Raw genomic sequence first — 24,972 nt, 5'->3', positions numbered from 1 at the left:
GTAATCCCAGCTGCTTGGGAGACTGAGGCACGGAGAATTGTTTGAACCTGGGAGGCAGTGCTTGCAGTGAGCCCAGATTGCGCCTCTGCACTCCAGCCAGGGTAACAGTGCAAGACTCCATCTAAAAAAAAAAAAAAAAAAAATCAGAGCTGACAAGTTGCCCTTTTTATTTTATGTATGTATTTATTTATTTTTGAGACAGAGTCTTGCTCTGATGCCCAGGCTGGAGTGCAGTGGCGTGATCTCACCTCACTGCAACCACAACCTCTGCCCTCTGTGTTCAATCGATTCTCCTGCCTTAGCCTCCCAAGTAGCTGGTATTACAGACGTGCGGAACCACGCCCAGCAATTTTTTTGTGTGTTTTTAGTAGAGATGGGGTTTCACCATGTTGGCCAGGCTGGTCTCAAACTCCTGACCTCAAATGATCTGCCCGCCTTGGCCTCCTGAGGTGCTGGGATTACAGGCATGAGCTACTGCACCTGGCCCTTTTATCTTAAAGAAGAGTAAATTAATAGCCAATAACCAAGACCATGAATATGCAAAAATTACTTTATTAACCCTTCAAAATAGCTGAATCTAAAAAGAGCCAAATGTACTGCCAGAGTAAAGTCATTCTCTTGATGCTAAACATTTTCCTAAGTGTTGAAATAGGCCTTAATGTGAGGTTGAAATATGCAAATATGAGTTCTAGTCCAAATACCACAAATTGTGCAAAATCTATTCCTTTTTTTTCTTGAATCCCACTGGTTCTTCCTTCTGATTTAACTAGTTAGTTGTCTCATATTAAAACCAAAAACCATGACTTATAAACAGTTTACCATTCTTTTTTTTTTTTTTTTTGAGACAGAGTCTCACTCTGTTACTCAGGCTGGGGTGCAGTGGCACAATCTCAGCTCACTGCAACCTCCACCTCCCGGGTTCAAGTGATTCTCCTGCCTCAGCCTCCCGAGTAGCTGGGATTACAGGCATCTGCCACCACGCCTGGCTAATTTTTGTAGTTTTAGTAGAGACAGGGTTTTGCCATGTTGGCCAGGCTGGTCTCAAACTCCTGACCTCAGGTGATCCACTCACCTCGGCTTCCCAAAGTGTTGGGATTACAGGTGTGAGCCACCCGGCCCAGTTTACTATTCTTACTTGCTTTTTCTTCTCTCATATTACACCTTTGATCATATTTTCATAGTATTGATTTTCTGACCTCTCAGTCTGCAGTACCTATTCCAGGAAACCCGCATTTTTCTTAGCCACCTCTCTCCTGGGTCCCTTTCTTCTTTGGCTCCAATTTTTTTTTTTTTTTAAAGATGTAGTCTCGCTCTGTCGCCAGGCTGGAGTGCAGTGGTGCAATCTCAGCTCACTGCAACCTCCACCTCCCAAGTTCAAGCGATCCTCCTGCCTCAGCCTCCTGAATAGTTGGAACTACAGGTGCGTGCCACCATGCCCAGCTATTTTTTTGTATTTTTAGTAGAGATGGGGTTTCACCATGTTGGCCAGGATGGTCTTGATTACTTGATGTCGTGATCCGCCTGCCTCGGCCTCCCAAAGTGCTGGGATTACAGGCATGAGCCACCTCGCCCGGCCGCTTTGGCCCCAGATTTGATTGACTCTCTCAGCCTGGGGCTTAGTTGATTTGCTCAGATTACCCCTTCACTGCTCTTCTCAATTGAATCTTTTGTTTCATGGATCCCATTTCTTCTTTTTCTTCTTGGTTGATTTCTTCCTTCATCCTAGAGTAATGTTTTAGGGTATGTGGCAATTAAATCCTTAGTCTATTTATGATGTAAGGTGCTTTTATTTTTCCCTTATACTTGATTGATACTTTGTTTCTAATATTATAGGGAGAAAATCAAATTTATATAGAATTTATATTTTACTATTTCTTATTGCTGATGTGAAAATTGGTACTAGGCTGATTCTTTTCCATTTTTAGGTGACTTGTTCTTTTTTCCTTTTCTTTTTTTCCCCATTGTACTTAGGTTCTTTTCTTTATGATTGGTCTTTGGAAATTTCACAGAGTTGTGTGAACTCTTTTTGATTTGCCAAATTAAAATTTGCTTTAATTTTAAAGATACCAGCCCTGGGAAATTTTCGTTTTAAATTATTTTGAGGCTGGGCATGGTGGCTTACGCCTGTAATCCCAGCACTTTGGGAGGCCGAGGCAGGTGAGTTACTTAAGGCTAGGAGTTTGAGACCAGCCTAGGCGACATGGTAAAACCCCATCTACAAAAAATACAAAAATCAGCTGGGTGTGGTGATGTGCACATGTTGTCCTAGACGCTTCGGAGGCTGAGGTGGGGGATTGATTGCATGAGCCCAGGTGTTCAAGCCTGCAGTGAGCTATGATCACCACTGCACTTCAGCCCAGGCAACAGAGTGAGACCCTATCTCCAAAAAAAAAAAAAAAAAAAAAAAGAAAGAAAAGAAAAGAAAAGAAAAAGAAAAAGAAATGACAGTCTCGGGGGGAAAAAAACAAATGGTATTTATGTCACTCAAAGCTATATGGCTATTTGGATGACAAAGCTACTAAACTGAAGGTAAGGGTAAGGGTTGGAGGAAGAGGTGTCTTTTAAATTCCAAAATGAAGGAGTAATTGTTTTTGGCACCAATACCCACACTAGCAGTTCTTTTATTTATTTTTTGTTTTTTTTTTGAGACAGATTCTCGCTCTGTCGCCCAGGCTGGAATGCAGTGGCATGATCTCGGCTCACTGCAACCTTTGCCTCCCGAGTTCAAGTGATTCTCTCACCTCAGCCTCCTGAGTAACAGGGATTATAGGCACGTGCCACCATGCCTGGCTAAATTTTTTGTATTTTTAGTAGAGATGGGGTTTCACCATGTTGGCCAGTCTGGTCTTAAACTCTTGACCTCAGGTGATCCACCTGCCTCTGCCTCCCAAAGTGCTGAGATTACAGATGTGAGCCACCACACCCAGCCTAGCGGTTCTAATTATAGTATTCTTCAGTATATTTATATAAAGTTTATATATTATTATTTTGGGAAAGTTAAAATTTTGGATATAGGTGAGGGAAAATGTTGAGTATACAGACTTTCAATTAATCTCTATTTTCAGGCCCTCTTTTTTTTTTTTTTTTGAGAGACGGAGTCTCGCTCTGTCGCTCAGGCTGGAGTGCAGTGTCACGATATTGCCTCACTGCAACGTCTGCCTCTCAGGTTCAAGCGATTCTCCCACCTCAGCTTCCCAAGTAGCTGGGACTACAGGCATGCACCACCACGTCCAGCTAATTTTTGTATCTTTTAGTTGAGATGGGGTTTCATCATGTTGGCCAGGCTGGTCTTGAAGTCCTGACCTCAGGTGATCCTGAGGTCCTGCCTCGGCCTCCCAAAGTGCTGAGATTATAGGCGTGAGCCACTGTGCATGGCCTCAGCCCCACTTTTTATTCAGGCTCTTCTCAGATTTGCCATTTCCAAATTTTAGCTTCTCTAGGCCTCTGTTTAATAGACCCTTTTCCCTTTGTTTCCTCTCTCCTCCAACTCCTCTCTCTCCTGCTCTTCCCTTTCCCTCCCCTCCCTTCATTACCCCACTGTTCTGTTCCATTTTTGTATGTCAGGCAGTGACAGTGATAATTGTCATATATTTTCCTCTACAGTAGAAATGGTACTTAGTATCATCTCAATATGATGCATCCCACCTATCTACCTTATGTTGCAGACACTTTTATGTTTATTTTCTGGTTGTTTCCAATAGGGAGAGTTGGTAATCCTTCAGATTACCAACTGAATGTCTTTTTTTGAGATGGAGTCTCGCTCTGTCGTCCAGGCTGCAGTGCAGTGGCACCATCTCAGGTCACAGCAAGCTCCACTTCCCCAGTTCAAGCGATTTTCCTGCCTCAGCCTCCTGAGTAGCTGGGATTACAGGCATGTGCCACCACGCCTGGCTAATTTTTGTACTTTTATTCTCACCATATTGGTCAGGCTGGTCTCAAACTCCCGACCTCGTGATCCGCCCACCTCGGCCTCCCAGCTTGCTGGGATTATGGACGTGCGCCACGGCCCCTGGCCTGAATGTCTTATTGGTATATTTTAGCTTTCTATTTCAGTGTAATACAAAACTGTAAATGTTCTTTTGTGACCTTTTTCTTTTTTAAAGATAATTTTTAATGTAGAGGTAATTTGCATAGGAGATTTCTGCCTGTATATCCTGGTAGTGTCTTGAAAAAGTATGTCTAACTGCTTTCTACCTTTTCAACTCTATAATGTTTCTGAAGTGTACAAATCACCAAGGGATTACATTCAAAATTAAAATAAATATTTGAGATTATAAAGGGGAGTTTGCATGAAATCACTTGATACTGCTTTTTTAATCTACAGAAAGAATGGAGGGAAGATAGAAATGGAGAATTTAAAAGAAAAGTTGCCCGCTGTGTAAGAAAAAGCCAAGAGACTGCTTTTGAGTGACATTTATTTAGCAGCTAGTAACTTCACTTATTTCAGGGTAAGTTTATTTTAAATATCATACTTTTGTTTTTTTGTAAGTATCCTATTAGTTTTTGGAAATTGTGTGATTTGGGTATTTGAATTACATTTTTTCATTGACTTCATTTTTTAATGGTATTATCCTGTAGTCTCGTTCTCAAAACTACTGTATAATCTGCTTGCTTTTCTCCTAAGACACCCAGCTGTTTTTGACTAGATATTCTGCATTCATATGGTTAGTATGCTGGTCTGTTTCTTTTCACTGATGGTAAAGTTTCTAATGATAAGGTTGTTATTTCAGTTTAGTTTCTTTGTTTGACTTTTTGATCTAGCATCCTGATCACTTGGGCACTAATGTATCTTCATATACTGTATTATGTAGGGTATAGGCAAGACTATTAGTCATCTACCTATTCCTTTAAGGTTGGTCTTCTGGCCAGGCGTGGTGGCTCATGCCTGTAATCCCAGCACTTTGGGAAGCCGAGGCGGGTGGAACACCTGAGATCAGGGGTTTGAGACTAGCCTGGACAACATGGTGAAACCTCCCCTCTACTAAAAATACAAAAATTAGCCAGGCCTGGTGGCGTGTGCCTGTAATCCCAGCTACTCAGGAGGTTGAGGGAGGAGAATCGCTTGAACCTGGGAGACGGAGGTTGCAGTGAGCCAAGATTGCACCGTGGCACTACAGCCTGGACAACAGAGCAAGACTCTATCTCAGAAAAAAACAAAAAACAAACAAACAAAAAGTTGGTCTTCTATCTCCTTGGTCTTTACAGATAGGGCCAGTAGTTAAAAACTTCCCTTTTATTGTATAACATCTGTCCACAGTTTTATGTTAGGTCTAGAAAGGAGTCAAAGATGGAAGGCACCCATCCACCTTAGAAGAGGAAATAATATAGATTAATTGCTCACATGTGGGTTATTTGGTCTCTTCTTTTAAAATTAAATATTGAAATGATAGAAACTGAAGTGAAGACTATCCTTTCAGGGATCATTTCTATAGTTTGTTACTATAGAAGTTTTCTGAAGGTGTAGAGCACCAAAGGATACAACATTGAGCTGGTTTCAAATTCAGCTGCTTTGATTCAGCAAGCTGCAACAGTTAAAAACATAGCAGAAAATTGTTATTGAATATCTATGTCTCTGAAAACGGAATAGTTCTGCAAGTTGGTGAATAAAGTCTAAGAGTTGTCCAGCTACAGAAACAAGATGCCAGATGATTCGTAAGACCTATTCGTGATATTTAAATTACTCAATAAAAGACCTATTGATTTGTGGGGGTTGAGGGAGAAACCGAAATACACTGTCTGAAAAATCACAATCCATGGCACATCTTGAGTCTACCTATTTTAAGAAAATGAACATTACCATTATCTTCTGTCCCCTACACTCCGCTGCTTTCTTCTGTCCCTTTCTCATATTCCTAACTCTGGGTTTACTATTGCTTTTCTTCATAATTTTACCAAATTTGCATGTTTAAACAATGTATTTCATGATTTTGAACTGTTTATATGTGGAATGATAATGAATGCATTCTTCTGTTACTTTTATTGCTCAATATTCTTCAAATTGATCTGTGTTGCAAATAGGTACATTTCACCTGTGTGCTATTACACTGGGTAAATTACCGCTCTACTCCTTATTCTCATTGCAGTTATTTTCTGAATTGGTGTAGGGGTGTTTGTTCTTTTTCTGTTATAGAGGGTGGCTATCCTTGTTTCCTGATTTGCATGTACTGTAAGAGGTTCTCTAGGGTATATACTTGGGGTGGAATTCTTAAATCAAGGGTACGCGTATTTCATTTTGAGTAGATAATGCCAAATTGTTTTCTAAAGTGTTCCTTCTTTTCATAGTCCCATTGGCAAGGATAAAGATCCCCTTTGTGGCCAGGTGCGGTGGCTCACACCTGTAATCCCAGCACTTTGGGAGGCCGAGGCGGGTGGATCACAAGGTCAGGAGTTCAAGACCAGCCTGGCCAATATGGTGAAACCCCATCTCTACTAAAAATATAAAAAATTAGCCAGGCACAGTGGCGTGCGCCTGTTGTCCCAGTTAGGAGGCTGAGGCAGGAGAATCGCTTGAACCCGGGAGGCGGAGGTTGCGGTGAGCCGAGATCACACCACTGCACTCCAGCCTGTGCAACAAGAACAAAACTCCGTTCCAAAAAAAAAAAAGATTCCCAGCCGGGCATGGTGGCTCATGCCTGTAACCCAGCATTTTGGGAGGTTGAGATGGGCAGATCACTTACAAGACCAGCCTGGTCCATGTGGCTGAAACCCCATCTCTACCAAAAAATATAAAAATTACCAAGGTGTAGTGGTGCACTCCTATAGTCCCAGCTACTCAGGAGGCTGAGATGGGAGAATCACTTGAACCCAGGAGGCGGAGGTTGCAGTGAGCTGAGATTGCATCATTGCACTCCAGCCTGGGCAACAGAGCGAGACTCCATCTCAAAAAAAAAAAAAAAAAAAAAAAAAAAAGCCCAGGTGCCGCGGCTCACACTTGTAATCCTAGCACTTGTGGGAGCTGAGGCAGGTGGATTACCTGATGATGGGAGTTCAAGACCAGCCTGGCCAACATGGTGAAACCTCGTCTCTACCAGATATACAAAAAATTAGCCATGTGCAGTGGTGCACACCTGTAATCCTAGCTACTCTGGAAGCTGAGGCAGGAGAATCACTTGAACCCAGGAGGCGGAGGCTGCGATGAGCCGAGATCACGCCACTGCACTCTAGCCTGGGCTACAGAGTGAGACTTCATCTCAAAAAAAAAAAAAAAAGTCTATCTATCTAAATCTGGATATTGTGGACTTAATATGAATTGCCCTAGTTACCAGTGAAATTGCATATCGTTTCATGTGTTTGACCATTGAGGTTTTCTCTGTGAATTGCGTGTTCAGGTTTTTAGATTACTTTTTCAGTTTGTTGATTTGTGTACTTGTCCTTTTATTTTCTTTGTGGTATCCTTTGGACAAACTGAGGTTCATATATATATATATATATATATATATATATATATATATATATATATAACTTTTTTTTGGGGGCAGAGTTTCGCTGTGTCGCTCGGGCTGGATTGCAGTGGTGCAATCTCGGCTCACTGCAATCTCCGTCTCCTGGGTTCAAGCAGTTCTAGTGCCTCAGCGTCCCAGAGTGCTGGGATTACGGGCATGAGCCACCGCACCTGGCCTGAGGTTCTTAATTTTAATGCAGGTGAATTGATTAGTCTTTTCCTTTATGGATTTTACTTTTCGTTTCTTGGCTAGAGAGCCTGTTCTTTTTTAACCACCAAAAATCTGTTTTGTTTCGCTTTTCATATTTGTGTTGAATCCATTGAAATTGATTTTTGTGTATGGTATGAGGTAGAGGTTGAACTTCACTCACCCCACTTTCCCCTGATGTGTAACTGTTGACTGTACCATTTATTGACAAGTCCTTGCTTTCACCACTGGTACACAGTGCCTGTTATGTTCTACAATCAGATTTCCAACACATCAGCCAGTACGTGTTGATCTGTTTTGGGCATTTTTTTTTTTTTTTTTGAGATGGAGTTTCACTCTCATTGCCCAGGCTGGAGTGCAATGGCGTGATCTCAGCTCACTGCAACCTCCGCCTCCCAGGTTCAAGCAATTATCCTGCCTCAGCCTCCCAAGTAGCTGGGATTACAGGTGTGTGCCACCACTCCTGGCTTATTTTGTATTTTTTAGTAGAGATGGGATTTCACCATGTTGGTCAGGCTGGCCTCGAACTCCTGACCTCAAGTGATCCACCTGCCTTGGCCTCTCACAGTGCTGGGATGACAGGCATGAGCCACTGTGGCTGGCCATGGGCTTTTGTATTTTTCAATGGTTGGCTTGTTTATCTTAATTTTAATTTATTTTTGTGATTAAATGTATCAAATGCAAAGGTTTAAGTCCGAAGTAAAGCTAAAGTCTGTCCACCATTTATCCTGTTTTCATGTTTGATATCTCTGGTTTCTAGAAAAAATTTAGATGTGCTTTCAGATCTCCTTATTATAACCAGAAGTGCTCCCCTTTACTACCAGATATACCATGCAGTCTAAAAATTATTCCTATTTTCACCATCTTTTAAAAATCTGCTTAGGAAGTAAATGCCTCAGTAAGTACCTAAACCAATCATTAGTTGAACTAAAAGTGTAATCATTTAAAAATTGAATTAAATATACATCACACCAAAATCACTAATGTGTTCTAACAATGGGTCTATATTTCACTCATCTGTCTGATATTCAGAGTATAGTATGCTAGCTTGTCCAGCCTGCAGCCTGCGGGCCACATGTATCCCAGGACAGCTTTGAATGCAGCCCAACACAAATTGGTAGAATTTCGTAAAACATCAAGATTTTTTTTTATTTTTTCTTTTTTAAGTTCATCAGCTGTGGTTAGTGTTAGTGTATTTTGTGTGGCCCAAGACAATTTGTCTTCCAGTGTGGTTCAGAGAAGCCAAAAGACTGGGCACCCCTGCTGTAGACAATCAAATGCTTAAATAAATGAGTCAGTCTTCTTTTTATTGAGATGTGCACCTAATTTTTAAATGTCATTGCCATTACACAATTTTTTTGTATTAAGGCTTTATACCATGGAAACCTGTTTCCTTAGGCCGGGCGCGGTGGCGCATGCATGTAAGCCCAGCACTTTGGGAGGCCAAGATGGGTGGATCACTTGAGGTCAGGAGTTCAAGACCAGCCTGGCCAACATGGTGAAACCCCGTCTCCACTAAAAATACAAAAAGTAGCTGGGCGTAGTGGTAGGCGCCTGTAATTCCAGCTACTTGGGAGGCTGACGCAGGAGAATCACTTGAATCCCGGAGGCAGAGGCTGCAGGAGGCAGAGGCAGTGAGCCAAGAGAGTGAGACTCCATCTCAAACAAAAAAAAAAAAATGTAAAAGATACCTGTTTCCCCAAGGCCGGCTTTGTAGACTGAATAGTCAGCAGCCTCACCTGTCTCTTCTTGAAGGCTGGCTTTTCTCACGGCTTTATCACCATGCACTTTCTGAGTATTTTTTGTGTTTTCAGTCATGTGATAGGACATAGACGTGAACGAAAACTCACTATAAACACTTGAAAAATGTATTGTCTGTCTGGGCTGAACTGAAAGTGAAATCAATTTAAGATTATTTGAAAATACATATTTATCTACATTCAAGTCCATGACCCACACATATTTTCTCAAAATGCACGGATTACTGTGGGTGCCACTTGGCCCAGGCTTTATCTCACATTTTGTTAGTGTTTATACCTTGTCCTATATAGAGATTATTAGTACCCTTATGTTCTAATTCAGCTGTGGGGTAGGAAGAATAGAGAGGAAAAGGAAACAAATTCTCCCCTTGCCACAGATGAGAACCATGGCTACTTTGTGTACCACTGGACAGGAGGACTCCGTTCTGCACCAAGGCTAGAGGGACTGTATTGGTTCTTTATTGCTACGTAACAAATTACTAAAACTTAGTGGCTTGAAACAACATTTATTATCTCATGATTTCCATGGCCATGGGATCTGGGTGTGGCTTGGTTGACTCCGGGTCTCTCATAAGGCTGTGGTCAAGGTGTTGACTCAACTGGGGTGCATCTGGTTCCAGGCACGACTGAGTTCCTCCTCACTGCCTGTTGGCTGGAGTTCTCCCTCAGTTCTGTCTACTGAAGACCTCTCCATAAGTCAATTCACAACATGGCAGTTGGCTTCATCAGAGGCAGCAAGTGAGAGAGGGTGAGCCAGGTGTGGGTAGACTGCCTTGAGGGAGGCAGTCATTCCCAAGCTTCGGGAACCTTGTCTGCTGTAAAGCACAGCTGAGTTCCCCTGTAGGAATCGCTGGTGCTTACCTGCATTCAGTGACTAGTGGATTAGACGGGTGGAGTTGGGTTGGTACAAAGGCTTGGTCAACTGGCTCTTTTGTCTTGTTTGGGAATTCTCGGGAAGGTCATTCTAACATAGTATTGACTGAGGCCTTTGTTTCAACTGCCTTGAGTTAGTTCATCTTCTCCCTTTGTCTAAGCTTGCATCCCTCACTCTTGTTTTTGAGAGCACCTCCTGACAAACCTCAAATCTCTGCCTCAGAATCCGTTTCCTAGGGAACTTGACCCAGAATAAGTACTACGGATTGCGTAACTCAGCACAGTAAGGTAGAAGGCTGCCTGCCTGCCTTACTTAGTTGCAGATGTGGGGCATGAATCTATAGTTATTTCTAACACATTTGCAAAGGCACTGTCCTCTTGGGGAAAGAAGGAACACATAGAATGCGATAGATACACTATACTGACCTGTAAAGACTGTTTGCCTAGCCAGGTAGACCAAGCATAAAACAAAGTAAGGTTAAACCACATTAAAAACTTCAGTGGAGGCCAGGGGCAGTGGCTCACGCCTGTAATCCCAGCACTTTGGGAGGCGAAGATCGGTGGGTGGGAGTTTGAGACCAACATGGCAAAACCGCTTCCTACTAAAAATACAAAAAAAAAAATTAGCCAGTACGGTGGTGTGCGACTGTAATCCCAGCTACTCGGGAGGCTGAGGCAGGAGAATCACTTCAACCTGGGAGGCGGAGATTGCACCACTGCACTCCAGCCTGGGCGACAGAGGGTAACTCTGTCTCCAAAAAAAAGGGCGGGGGGGCTTCAGTGGGAGTAGAAGCAGACCATGACTCAATTTGAGGTGGTTAGGATAGAGGTTAGAAGTAGGGCTGCTGGTGACATTGCAAGTCTCCAGAGTAGAGATGAAGATCTGTTTGGTGTAGAGAGCAGTACTTACCAGGGCAAGGACAACTTGGAGACTGCACAATTAGGGTACAGAAGGAAGAGACAGAGACTGGCTTGGTAACATGCAGGAGAGTTAGGAGAGTGAGTTCTCACAGAGAGCTCAGAAAGGAAGTTGGTGTTAGAGCTACTCACCAATCTCATGGTAGAAGACGACGAGCAGCACGGTCCCAGTGTGGGGGAAAAAGTCAGCGGATTGGTGACGGAGCAGGAGTACACTGGGTGGCTGTGTAGGGTGATTTGGAACTTTTGGAAGCATTTTTTTGTGAAGGGTAATGGGGAAAACTTAATTGGTATTGGCTGTTTTCACTTACAAGATCATTGAAACACTTAAGATCATTGAAATACTTCCCTATGATTGAAGAATTACTTTTATTTTTGTCATTAACATCAAAAAGTGGCTTCTATTTGGGAGCACATTGGTCTGTTTTATATTTTTTTAGATCTTTTTAAAAGATTAGGTTTTGTAGCCATATGGAAAATTAAAGACGACTCTAGTTTTAGAAATATTAATAAATGGAATAAGACACTCAAGTTCTTTGGAGGTAAACCATCTCCAGATTTTTAGGTTAAAAAGCAGGCATAATTCTGAGAAGATATGAGGCAAATGACAGGTGCAATTGATATAATTTCAATTAATATTGAAACATAAATTCTGCGAAATGGATATGCTTAAAATGTAAATGACTGTTGCAAGTCAGCACCATTTATTTGCAGTGTTGTGCTGGTTAATTCAGTTTCACATTTATCTTTCTGGAGAAAAGAATGACAAAACCTGCCTTTTCTGTACTGAGGCCTTGTCTCTATTTAGAATTTAGTATAACTTTTATTAAAAGGGAAGAGGGATAGATTTTCTTTTTCCTCTGCTGAAAAGGGTAATGCTGTTTAAAACTGGATCTTTGCTATTAAAAGGCTAGGTCGCCTGATTTTAGTGTTGTTTTTTTTTAAGACGGGAGTCTTGCTCTGTTGCCTAGGCTGGAGTGCAGTGGCGTCCTCCCCTGCCCTGTTCTGTTCCTTTTTTGAGACAAGGTCTCACTCTTACTGTCACTCAGGCTTCAGTGCAGTGGTACACTCATGTCTCACTGCAGCCTTGAACTCCTAGCTTCAAGTTGTCCTCCCACAGGCATGTGCCACCGTGGCTGGCTAATTATATTATTTATTGTACAGACAAGGGTCTCCTGTTGCCCAGGCTGGTCTCGAACTCCTGGTGTCTAACAATCTTCCCACCTTGGCCTCCCAAAGTGCTGGGACTACAGGCAGGAGCCACTGTGCCTGGCCATCTCTTGGGTTTCAGTGTATGTCTTTTGATTTTCTAATAAAAATATGTATGTGCATACGTGTATCTGGTGAAGGTGATATATTTGTTACTTAGTACATTTCATGCTTTGCTAAGGGCCATTTACATTGATTGGTACATGTCTTTTGGAAAGACATATAGCAGTCGTTCTACCTCTCAGGATCTTGTAGGGAGGTTGTCTAAATGGCTTTCTTTCTCCCCACAACAGAGCTTTTGGTATGGTTGCATTTGAGTGATTGTAAGATAGATCAATTTGGCCAGGCGTGGTGGCTCACGCCTCTAATCCCAGCACTTTGGGAGGCCGAGGTAGGCAGATCACGAGGTCAGAAGATCGAGACCATCCTGGCTAACACAGTGAAACCCCGTCTCTACTAAAAATACAAAAAATTAGCCGGGCATGGTGGCAGGCGCCTGTATTCCCAGCTACTCGGGAGGCTGAGGCAGGAGAATGGCGCGAACCCGGGAGGTGGAGCTTGCAGTGAGCCGAGATCGCGCCACTGCACTCCAGCCTGGGCGACAGAGCAAGACTCTGTCTCAAAAAAAAAAAAAAAAGACCATCCTGGCTAACAGGATGAAACCCCATCTGTACTAAAAATACAATAAATTAGCCGGGTGTGGTGGCGGGTGCCTGTAGATCCAGCTACTCGGGAGGCTGAGGCAGGAGAATGGCGTGAACCAGGGAGGCGGAGCTTGCAGTGAGCCGAGATCGCGCCACTGCAGCCTGGGTGACAGAGCAAGACTCCGTCTCAAAAAAAAAAATTGGTAAGTTCATATTGGGCTTTAGAAGGCATGCTGAATTTTGAACATGTCTGGTGTGAGTTAAAATTTGTCATAACTCTTTAGGTATATTTGGCTTCTCTGTGAGGAATTTAAAATTATATCCCTTGATTTCTTAGTCATCTTCTGTTTCTTTTGCCCAAAATTGTGCATGGCAATGGATTCAGAGTTTCTGAGTTCTTTGGAACACTTGACCTAAAGATGCAGTCCTAATAGGTGTTTCCTTTTCTGCTGTCCTTGGCGCCCCCACCCACCCCCCTTTCAAAGCACATATTAATATAATAAAGACTCTGAAAAGTCTAATAGTCAAATGAGACTTTTAAAGCTTTAACCACTGGGTGCAGTAGCACATGCCTGTAATCCCAACACTTTGGGAGGCCGAGGTGGCAGCGTTGCTTGAGCCTGTAGTTCAAGACCAGCCTGGGTGACGTGGTGAGGACCCTGTTTCTACAAAAAAAAATTAAAAATTATCTGGGCATGGTGGTGTGTGCCTGTGGTCCCAGCTGCTTGGGAGGCTGAGGTGTGAAGATCACTTGAGCCCAGAGGCTGCAGTGAGCCATGTTCATGCCACTACACTCCAGCATGAGGGACAGAGTGGGACCCTGTCTCAAATAAATAACAAACAAAAACTTCAACCTAGTGTTTTTCTAACTTTTTGAACAGGAAACTCAGCCATTTATTGGCTATGTGAACTTGTCTCAGCTTTAGAGGGGAGACTCCTTCATAATGATGATTGTGAGCATTCAGGAAATGAGTTTGTAAAGCGCTTAGCATGCTGCTTGGCACATCAGAACTCGATGAGGCGGTGCTGCTTTTTATGTAGATGTGTTCTTGACTTACAGTCTAACTGGATGATACGAGGCCAACAGATTTGAAACACTTAGAAACTGTGGTTGGGATGGAGGGTCATTTGTGGCAGGCTTTGTGGAGAAAATGGGTTTGAAGGGAGCTATAGTGAGTTAGATAGAATTTAGCAAGTTGGGAAGTGTGGCAATCTTAAGTTGTTTCTCTGAACATCCTCAAATGTTTGTAAATTTCCAAATCACTTGGCTTTTAAATCTTCTCTTATGGATTCTAGATTTAATATAAGTTGAAAGACATTTGAAGTATTGAAAAATCTAAATTAGCGCTGTCCAGTAGAACGTTCTGTGATGATAAGGATACAGCTGTGCTGTTCAGCTTGCCAGTCACTAGCCACATGTGACTACTGAGCACGTGAAATGTGCTTAGCATGACTCAGGAACTAAATTGTAAATTGTACTTAATGGCAATTAATTTACATTTAAAATTAAATATACCCACGTGGCTGTGAGCTACCATAATAGATAGAAACAAAGTGAGCTCAGAATGAAATTAAGGATTTGTTGTCAAATAAATCTAATATGGATAAAACCTACTTACAGTTAATTCTTTTGTAATTGATGAATTGACTATATAATGTTGTTTTTGTTGTTGTAGGTCTCCAATTGAGAAACATGGCACTGTTTTTCCTGCACTCTACCCACCTATTGCTGGACTTCTGTTGTACAAGTTGGCAAACACTGGCTGGAACTGGGCTGCAATAAAACATGCCAGTTATCAATGCTGACAAGAGCCTAACAAGTGCCAACTTACAGATGATTACGCATTTTGAATTCTAATGAACTGTTTTAACCTTCAGGAAGAATTGTAAAGACCTGTACATAGCACAACATGATCCGGATAATATATATACTGTTCATGTACATCCACAAATACACCTTGTACCAAATAATGCTTTCTTGTAGTAGAATAAGAATCGTGTAAATTCTAAGAGATTTTAGCAGGTTTTCTTTCCTATTCATTGTTTCTTATCAGTTTAAAAGGATTCCTTTAAGCATGTCAGATGAAAAGCAATTAGGATTAAAAGTTTCCATTTAATTTCCCTTAAACCCTTGAGGCTTCATTAAACTCTTTTCACTTACTAAACTTTTGTATCTTCTTTGTTTTGACACACTCCCCTTTGCTTTTATCTCTTACCTGCCAGAATGTTCTCAAATGATTTAGTTCAAATACTGAAATACTTAATGAGCAATTACTTGATTTTTAATGATGACTTCGAAGGAGTCATCACTAGGTGCTTTGTCCTTTTTGTATTCTAGTTGCACCCACCTCTTGGATTGGATATAGCAATAACATTTATTGGCCGTTGTGAGCTCTTGATCCCAGTCATTACCCCTGAGAACTAAAAATAGATGGTTCTTAATTCAACTTACTGAAAATTTCCCCAAACAATAGCAAATCTGACTTTTCCCTCTTCAGTTGCCTGGTATTAAGGTTGGATAAATGAAGCATGCACAGCTACAGGCTTTCTACTTAACTTCTGGGTTTGCTATTACAAATCCTATTTACTCTCATACCCTTCTCCTTAGTCCTTCATATTTCTCTGCCTCTATTCTTCTATACTGCAGATTTTTCTCACCTATTGTACAAAGAAATTGCGATGTATATTTTCATGTAATTTGATTTTGGAATTCTGTCACCTTATGTAGTGAGTTCTTCCAAAATATAATTTTTTTTCAATAATTGTCAAGTTGTTGGCTTTTATTGTATTGAATGAAGGCTATAATACTGAGTGCCAGAGAAGTGGTTTAGGAAAATCTCAGGTTGATTCCTTATGCAAATGAACTTTTAATACTTGAAAATCACATGGCCATGGCAGTATATGTATTTGGTTCTATCTAGATTCTTCTGTGAATCTAAAAGCATTACAGGGGTAAATGCTTTGCTATTTGACGTATAGATCCCGTCACTAACAATAGTACACTTGGATGTGATTAATGTTTGAGCTTCAATATATTTCATATCATACAGTTTTCTAAAACAACTTCAGCAAATGGTAAAATGAACATGTGCAGTGTTAAAGGCAGGCCTTAGGCTCCTTCATGTTTGTTGTGAGGTTGTGTGTGGGAAGTAGTCTTTGGCTTATAAGGGATAGAACTTGAGACAGTAGCAGATGGGACATGGTGTTTGATTGTGAGAATCAGTGAGAATTCGTGCATCTCTGCTCTGTGGGGTTTGGAGAAATGCTTTGGCAGAAGAGTGAAAGAACTCCTGCCAAGAGCCCAGACCTCTACAAACGTTGTATGTCCTTTTTTAAGCAGAAATAAAATGGTTGAGGATGTAGTCACAGTAGAGAGTGATTTTTTTCTAAGTCCCTGTCCTCTACTCTGAAGCGTTATAAAAACCTGTAAACATTATACAAACCCACAAACCTTATAGAAACTCGTAAGTGTGTTGTGACTGGAAATTGATTCATTAGAACCCAGTTTTCTTTAAGAACTTTGTGACTTGGTTTTTTTTTTCCTTTTCCAAAGACTGTAAAAATAGTTGCCCCAAAATGTCAGCACTGCACACCCTCCAGGGACTTGGAATACAATCCTTTTTACTTTTTTTTTTTTTTTTTTAAGAAACTGGGTCTCTCTGTCACCCAGGCTGGAGTGCAGTGGCAACGATCATAGCTAACTGCAGCTTTGACCTCCTGGGCTCAAGTGATCCTCCTGCCTCAGCCTCCTGAGTAGCTAGGACTACAGGTGTATGCCACCATGCCTGGCTAATACAAAAAAATTCTTTTAAGAGATGGGATCCCTCCCTTTTAAAATCAGAACTTGTTCACATGGTGGTTGCTTGTGGCAAAACGGAGTTCAAATTTTGCTCTCCTATTGCTATAATTCTGCTAGCAATCTGTTGAGGTGAAACTTGGGATCTGACTCTTCAGCAAGCAGCAAATGACCTAGTAACTCAGGGACAACTATTTTTGAACTTTAAGTGCCACTTTAATGCAGTTAGTTTGATAAAACCATGTGGGTTTTTTTTTTAGGGCTAGCTCTACGGGAGTGGAAGTGAGAGCCAGGCATGAGTGCGTCTCCACATGCTTTTCCACCTGCCCTGAGTGTGTTACATACTGAAACAGGCCTACATAGATGTTACAACTTCCCTTCCTCTGTCGGAGATGTCATCTGTGCCTTTCTCAGTGTTCATCTGATAATGTAAATTTAAATGCCTCTACATTTGATACGAAACCCACATTCAGGTGACACTGAACGAGGTGGCTTTTGTCCCACCAGTGCCTCATCAGTGTGAGGCGATTCCTCTCTGCTTTAGGAAAATGATTTTTCCCCCTAAACTTGTGCCAACCATCAACAACATCTCCATAGATCTTATGGATTGTAGAACTGTTGGCTGTTTCCTAAATTTATTCCAAGTTCTCGTAGAGGCATATAGATTTCAGTCTGTGCTTGTATGGGATAGATGATCTGAGTGGCTTTCTGGCCTCTTTTTTGAGTTTAAAATCCATATGAGGTTGACGTGTCATACTAAGGTAACATGTTTGTGAGGTTATTCCACTAGTACTGTGATCACGTGGGTGTCAGTATCTTTAACGGCCTTCATTCTTGGTTGTGAGATTTTATTTGATATGCCCACTCACCCTCGACGAATCTGCCCGCTTTGGGCTGTGGTGCCTGTGTATCTTTGCCCGTCTGGTCTCCAGTTGGTGGAATTACCTTTTTTGTACTGCCACTTCTCAGCATCTTTGAAATTTGACATAATGTTGCTTCATTTCAGTTTTTTTAGTTCTGTAATTTGTTGATTGTATTTAACTATGTGAGTTCTGTTGTGATGTTTACTGTATTGTAAAGCACCTCATTCATGTGATGAGTGCTCTATAAATCAATAAATGATGACTTAGAGGCTGTATCACGAGCTATTTTGGTTTTAGGATGCAGGTCTCAAAAGCAAGTTGTGGGACTCTTTCTGTATAAACAGCACATGATACCAAAGGAACCACAGGGAAACCTTGTATTTTACAGACTTTAAAGAAGGAACCAGAGAAGTTAACTTGCCTTCCAACCTGATAATGATGCTCTTTAGATTTCCAGTACGTGGCCATGCACCGTTTTAACTCAGAGTTTGTGTGCACTGTGATTTATAACCTTCGAGTGAGCACTTATTAGAACATTATTGGGGATTTTGTCTTTGGCCTAAACTGGCTCTACCATAAAGGTAAGCTGAAAGGTGAGGAACCCAGACTCAAATGTGAACTGGAAGAGACTGCAGGCACCATCTCAGTCACCACCTCTGTCCTCTAAACAGACGGGAAAATGCGCCAATACCTGCCCAGGGGTCATTTAGTAAGTTACTGACAAAAGAGGCAAGACTGAGTAGAGAACCTTCTTTACAAGATACACAAGATATCAACATCCAGCTTTTTATCCTGAATCCTTACAAATAGTTCATACGGAGTTAGTGTTAGATGTTGAAAGCTTGTTTGTCCTTGATATAAATCACTAGCGACTATTAAGGGCTCTTCCTTACAAACTCGGAGAAAGGAACATGGAGTCAGACCTCTTATTCAGCTAAATTATGAACAAGAAAATCCCCCGAGAGGAGTTTTGGGAAGATGAGGGATTATTTCTAGAGTGCAAATACCCGATAAATATATTTGGAATGAACTGTTGTGGAAGGGTCTAGACAATATATATCCCCAAACTTACATCAGTTTTAGACATAATCAGCTACTCAAGGTATAGAGCCAAAACGTTTTATTTGCATGCTGCTTCCAGTGCAGATGAACAGGTTTTCGATGGTGTGTGCAAGGCACGAGGCTCCCAGGAAAGATGTGGATCTCCCGCTCCCTCTCATGGGACAGGGCTAATAACCGCCTTTCAAATTGAACCCTTTCTGCCTTGAGGAGGCCCGGAACCCTCACAGGATTCAGTTCACAGATCAAATGATTTTCTGGGTATGGTATTTCTGGTGGTTCAATTTCAGATGTGTGTAATCTGGCTGCCAACGTAGGATTAGGCTTTTTGGCTTGTGGAGTTGACACTCCTCACTGAGCTTTAGCGAAATGATGAAAGAATTTTGAATTCTGTTCACACAGGTAAATAAACTGAAGGAAAAGCCTTTCACAAAAGGGAGCCAAACACATCTTCTAAGACATAGGAGCTGCACAGAAAGTCCTAGGCAAGAAACTTGATTTTTTTCCTCTTCTCGGCAGTATGCAATATTCACAGTGACTTCCATTTATTCCCAACAAGAGCGCTGGAAATCAAGTTTTTCTATTTGTTGAGCCTCTCTTCTGTGGCAAGCTTGTGCTATGTGTTTTTCCTAAAGGTTCTAGTCACATTGTTAGAAGCAGCTTCCAAGGTAATCATTTCTCATGAGGAAACAGGCTCAGGTTAACTTGCCATCGTTGCACAGCACACAAGTTGCATGGCTGGGATTCGGTTCCACCGCCTGCCTTGCATACTGGGTGTTATTAGCCCTTCTTCACAGGTGAGGAAACCAGAGCTCACAGAGCGTGGATGTGTTGAGACCGGTGCTTGACCCAATTCATCGGACTAGCACTGGAGGTGTCCTCCTCTTCCTGCCCTGCCATGATACCGCACTGCCTCCTGAGTCTGTTCCCCTGTGCTCTTGAAGCTACGGTAGACAGCATTTATTCCCTTCCTGTTCTTCATGTTCCTTGTCTGAGACAGCACCACACTAAGTCCCTCTGAATCTGACTGCAAAACCTGAAGTGGGTCTAAAATGGACCATGCTCCAGTGCTCAGCTTTTTCAAGACGTCTGTATTTCTGGTTATAGCTAATGTTATAGCTCCATCCAAACCTGGTGGGTGCTGTAGTTTACTGAGTACTATGAGTGCTTTATTTCATAGGCTTTACTACCTTCTCTCTAACTCAGGGGTTACAGGTCAGTAAGAGTCCCCTCAAAAGACAAGGGCTGGCCGGGCGTGGTGGCTCACGCCTGTAATCCCAGCACTTTGGGAGGCCGAAGTGGGTGGGTCACGAGGTCAGGAGTTCGAGACCAGCCTGGCCAATATGGTGAAACCCCCGTCTCTACTAAGAATAAACAATTAGCTGGGCGTGGTGGCGTGTGCCTGTAATCCCAGCTACTCGGGAGGCTGAGGCAGGAGAATCGCTTGGGCCCGGGAGGCGGAGGTTGCAGTGGACCAAGATCGCACCACTGCACTCCAGCCTGGGCAACAGAGCAAGACTCCATCTCAAAAAAAAAAACCAAAAAAAAAAACAACAAAAAAAACCAGACAAGGGCCCAGGGATACCGTTAAGTCATTTCTAAGATGGGTACTTTATCCTCTGGTAGAGGGCTCCTTAGAGCGAGGTTGTGATGAGGAGGCAGTCAAGCCCCCGAGTTGATCAATCCCTTCAGGCGAGTTGTTCTTTGATCATGGCCATCCAGTCCAAGCACACTGAAACGGCACACATTTGTGTGCTACTCAAACGGAGAGGGTCTCTGGTTTTCATCAAATTCTCAAAGGGGGTCATGGCCCTCCAAATCTTTAGGAACCATGGATTCTAGTCCAAGTTCTTCGTCAAATAGGTAGAATCTGAGATGCAGCATAAGGCTTGCAAGGACTTGCCCATCATCAACACAGCAAGTAGCTGCAGAGCCAAACTTGAACTCAGGTCTCTTAATTCCCAGAATAGCACACAGTGGAAACACCTCATCAAACATTTTGAGTGCCTGCTATATTCCAGACCCTAGGCTGGTGCTGCTGAGGTAACGATAGTCATCATGCAAAATCGGGAGTCAGCTGTGACAGTACTTTACAACAACTTTCATGTTGCTTTTACGTTATGGCCCAGGCAATATTCGCAGGGTACTCCACCATAAAAAGATGAGGCTGCTTGCATCCAGAGGAGCCTGGCCTGCCTGGCCACTCTGAAGGCCCCAAAGACTCACCATTGGGCACCCCTATAAACCATTCTCAACAGACAGGGACGCTTTAAGCGATGGCCTTCCCATGGTAGGGAAAGTTCTCCCCTACCATCTTCGTGCCTTTCGTCTCCTGCCACAACAAAAAGGCTTACACGTTTCAACACCGTCTCTCATCTCCCAGGTACCTGGCAGCCAGAATTCCTACTCTTCCTCAAAAATTCAGTGCTTGACTCTATGTTCCCACGATCTAAGCTCCAAATTCCTCCTCCACTCCACCTCACTACCCACTAATGCTTATCCTTAACAGCACCTAAAGCTTCTCCAACTTTAAATCCTCCTTTTCGTTTCTGACACTCTTATTCTGTTCTCAGATTCTTCTTTTTAAATTTCTTTTCTTTTTCTTATTTAATTTTAGAGACAGAGTCTTGCTCTGTCACCCAGGCTGCAGTGCAGCGGCAGGATAGAGCTCACTGCAGTCCCAAACTCCTGGACTCAAGCAATTCTCCAGCCTCAGCCTCAGCCTCCCAAGTAGCGACAACTAAAAGCCTGCACCACCAGGTATAGCTAATTCAGATCCTTCCTTCCAACCTTTTGTCTCTTACTCCTGGCTGTCCTCCAAGGCCACCACTTTCCCTGCAATCCTGAACTATTGATGCATTCTTTTGATTCTCCCTTGAGTAAAAGTCTTTTTTGAAAGGTCTCATGCTGGGCCGGGCATGGTGGCTCATGCTTGTAATTTCAGTACTTTGCGAGGTTGGGGTGGGAGGACTGCTTGAGACTAGGAGTTCAAGACCAACCTGGCCAACAGAGACTCCATCTCTGAAAAAAAAAAAAAACAAAAAACAAGAAAGGTCTCATGCTATTCAGCTATGTTACTGTTTAGCCCTCCATTTTGCAATTGTCTTAACTAATCGTATAGTCCTCCCCACATTCACCAAAGATTTTAGCTCCTGATGCTCCTTTCCTTTCCTACCTCTAAATCCCAACATCTAATTTTCCTGCCTTCTCACTTCCACTTCAGCCACTCTATTCCGTGGCTCTGTCCTGGACTTTTTTTTTTTTTTTTTGAGACAGAGTCTCACTCTGTTGCCCAGGCTGGAGTGCAGTGGCACAATCTTGGCTCACTGCAACCTCTGCCTCCCGGGTTCAAGCGATTCTACTGCCCCAGCCTCCCGAGTAGCTGGGATTACAGGCATGCACCACCACGCCCGGCTAATTTCTGTATTTTTAGTAGAGACGGGGTTTCACCATGTTGGCCAGGCTGGTCTTGAGCTCTAGACTTCAGGTGATTCACCCTCCTCGGCCTCCCAAAGTGCTGGGATTACAGGCGTGAGCCACCACGCCCGGCCTGTCCTGGACTTTTCTCATCTCCTAGTGCTACTTCACTATGAACCTGTTTGCCACTTTAACCACCAAGCTCTCACAACATTGCCTGCACTGCACTGGCCTTCAATTATCAGAGACCTGCAGTTTCGTGGCTCCTCCATCAGTCCCTAGCCAGTCTGTATCCCACGTTTGATGGCCTGGGCTGTCGTCTCATAGCACCCTCAATTTATTTTGGGCAATGCAATCCCAAGCCCTGGATAAATGCTATAATTCAAAATATCTGCTACTGCAGCCTGGTGGCTGAGTTCTAGAAAAAAGTGATCCATCAACACATACATGAGGCACATGAAACCAGGCCTTCCAACTTCAGCGTCCTCTTCCAAAGTTTCTTTGCTCTTCTTGGTCTCCTTCCTTGTCTCATAACTTCACCCATAAAATCGATGTCATCAAACGATCTCCCTGATTTTCTTCCCCCCTATATATCTGCACGCATGTTCTTGTTTCCTACCGTTTTAGTGGAATAACAGGTGACCTGCCTCTAGTCTAAATTTAATCCGTTTTCCTGAGTTCTGCATCGCATGCAGAGCATCCTACCTCCCCAGGGACCTCTCCACTGACTCCTTTCTCCCAGCCTCTCCTTTCTTTACAAACCTAAGGACCAACAAACCCCCTCTCTCGACCCTCTCATTGCCAAGCTTCTCCAGAGTAGTCTGCATTCGTTGTGTCATCCTTTTCGGTGCCCTGCCAAGGACGTGGAATATGACAGGGCTCAGTCAGTGCTTAATAAATCTCGAGCCTCAAAAATACCCGGTAAAAAGAAACCCGGCTCTCCGCTTCCCCCAGAGTCCAGCAACCCCCTCCGCTTTCATTCACCCACTTTCCTACCCTCGGCTCCGCCTTTTGCCGCGCCTCCCGCGATTCTCGCGAGACTTGGTGATTCCGTTCCGCACCGCCCCGGTTGAGCCGCGCACTTCTCGCGAGGTTGCAGGCAGTGCCGGGCCAGACATGGCGGAAGGTAGGGTTTTTTTGTGGAGCCGCGCGGGAAGACACGGAGCTGTGGGGGCGCTGCTGGCCGTGCGAAGCTGCCGTGGGAGGGGAAGGCCGGGCGTGGTTGCATGGGGGCTCCGCGGGTCTCGCGAGCCTTCCTGTCTAGCCTCTCCGGAGCTTCTCGGGCCGGGGTCCGGAGCGCGGTTCCTATGACAACGTCCCTCCCGCGATGCCGACCCCGCGGGACTGCGGCCGGCTGCGGAGCCGGGCTGGCAGGTCCCGCGCCGGTGCTGCGTGCAGCCGCGGGGCCCCGAGGGCAGCACGGGAGGCTCTTGATTGCCGGCGGTGCCGGGACGCCGGGGGAAGTAAGCCTTCTCCTTAGGAAATCGAAACTGCTGTCCTGGCACGTTCTGCATCCGGAAGGGGTCCATCCCTCGCTTGCGGAAGAGCGTGGGTCTCCTCGGGCTGGGTTGGGGTGAGGTGGGGTGGGGTGGGGGCGAGGCAGCAGCGAGCTGGCCCACGCTTCAGGCGGGCGCACTGGCGGCTCCGGCTCTGCTGCAACCCCAGCCTTCAGGCCAGGCGTACAGATGAAGACGGGAGGAAGGGGTTTGCGGGAAGGGAGTTGGCCAAGGTCACACTGCTCACAAGAGGGCTGCTCAAACCAGACCTCTGTGCCTTTGCCTCCCCGTCCAGTGCCTACCCTCTGGTCTCGTGCACTTTTCATGACATTGCAGCTTAAGGCACTCTGGTCTCTCAGAGTCTGCCTGTCTTAATGTAGCAGTAATTAGAAGCCTTCATTGTCAAAGCCTTATTGTACACGTAGGGGGAAAGAAGGCCCAGAGACGGGGAGTTACCTGTCAGGAATCGTGCAGGGACATTGTTGGATCTGGGCAGCCTGGTTCTCCTCTTCACCCCATTATTGGAGAACAGTATTCCTTATTTGACCTTTGTTTATTGAGTGACTGCAGTGTGCTTGGCCACGACCTTTCCTGTTGGTTTTGAGCTTTGACTGAACCCATCACTTGATGGATCTTAGATTTGGGCAGCACCTGACAGTTGGTCGGCTTTTCTCATTTGCATTAGACTTCAGATAACCTCGTGAAGGAGGCCTGGCGTGTGTATTTGCCTTTATTGATAAAGGAATTTAGGCAAAGTTACAGAGATAGCTGTGACTGACACCCAGTTGGTTTTGGGGGGTGTGTGTGTGTGTTTTGAGATAGGGTCTCGCTCTGTCCCACCGGCTGGAGTACAGTGGCGCGGTCACGGCTCACTGTAGCTTCAGTCTCCTGGGCTCAAGCGATCCTTCTGCCTCAGCCTCCTGAGTAGCTGGGACCAGGGGCGCTCGCCACCACACCCGGCTAATTAAAAAGGGGTGTGTGTGTGTGTAGACAAGGTCTTGGCCCCGTGTGGTGGCTCGCGCTAGTAATTTCAGCACTTTGGGAGGCCGAGGTGGGAGGATCGCTTGAGGCCAGGAGTTCAAGAGCAGCCTGGGCAACATGGCGAAACCTCGTATCTACAAAAAATACGAAAGTTAGCCAGGTGTGGTGGCACGTGTCTGTAATTCCAGGTACTCGGGAGGATGAGGCACAAGAATCGCTTGAACCCGGAAAACGGAGGTTACAGTGAGCTGAGATCGTGCTACTGCACTCCAGCCTGGAGTGAATGGAGTGATGGCGGGTGCCTGTG

The 24,972-nt window shown here is 44.0% G+C and overlaps 2 protein-coding genes and 1 pseudogene across 10 annotated transcripts in view, besides 2 other annotated features; all 3 read left to right on the top strand.

Annotated features, from left to right (window-relative positions):
- Positions 1-17,987, top strand: part of UBE2G1 (ubiquitin conjugating enzyme E2 G1) — a 97,417-nt gene extending 79,430 nt beyond the window's left edge. The window contains exons 5-6 of the mRNA NM_003342.5: positions 4,325-4,448; positions 14,730-17,987. Of these exons, the coding sequence (NP_003333.1) occupies positions 4,325-4,411 (87 nt within the window). The 3' untranslated portion in view covers positions 4,412-4,448; positions 14,730-17,987. The remainder of the gene's footprint in view (positions 1-4,324; positions 4,449-14,729) is intronic.
- Positions 5,402-5,477, top strand: LOC124904156 (uncharacterized; annotated as a pseudogene).
- Positions 23,081-23,170: an enhancer, noted in NCBI's record as "active region_11537". NCBI's record gives its function as "activates an Ori minimal core promoter by ATAC-STARR-seq in GM12878 lymphoblastoid cells {active_cell/tissue: GM12878}" and the evidence as "EXISTENCE:reporter gene assay evidence [ECO:0000049][PMID:35858748]".
- ANKFY1 (ankyrin repeat and FYVE domain containing 1) overlaps positions 23,267-24,972 on the top strand; it is a 100,159-nt gene continuing 98,453 nt past the window's right edge. For 5 of the 9 annotated variants that reach the window (NR_047571.3, NM_001330063.2, NM_016376.5 and 2 more), the window contains exon 1: positions 23,267-23,314. Coding sequence is in view for 6 of the 9 variants with exons in the window: in NM_001330063.2 (NP_001316992.1) it covers positions 23,305-23,314 (10 nt within the window). In the remaining 3 variants the exon portion in view is untranslated. Of the gene's footprint in view, positions 23,737-24,972 lie in introns of all 9 variants that reach the window. The other 4 variants (XM_017024733.2, XM_047436221.1, NM_001257999.3 and 1 more) reach the window with 2 other exon arrangements.
- Positions 23,821-23,970: a silencer, noted in NCBI's record as "silent region_8033". NCBI's record gives its function as "represses an Ori minimal core promoter by ATAC-STARR-seq in GM12878 lymphoblastoid cells {active_cell/tissue: GM12878}" and the evidence as "EXISTENCE:reporter gene assay evidence [ECO:0000049][PMID:35858748]".

The sequence above is a fragment of the Homo sapiens genome, chromosome 17 (assembly GCF_000001405.40).
Source record: "Homo sapiens chromosome 17, GRCh38.p14 Primary Assembly".
NCBI lineage: Eukaryota > Metazoa > Chordata > Mammalia > Primates > Hominidae > Homo > Homo sapiens.
Note: the sequence above shows the minus strand (reverse complement) of the source record. Positions and strands in the feature narration are given on the sequence as shown.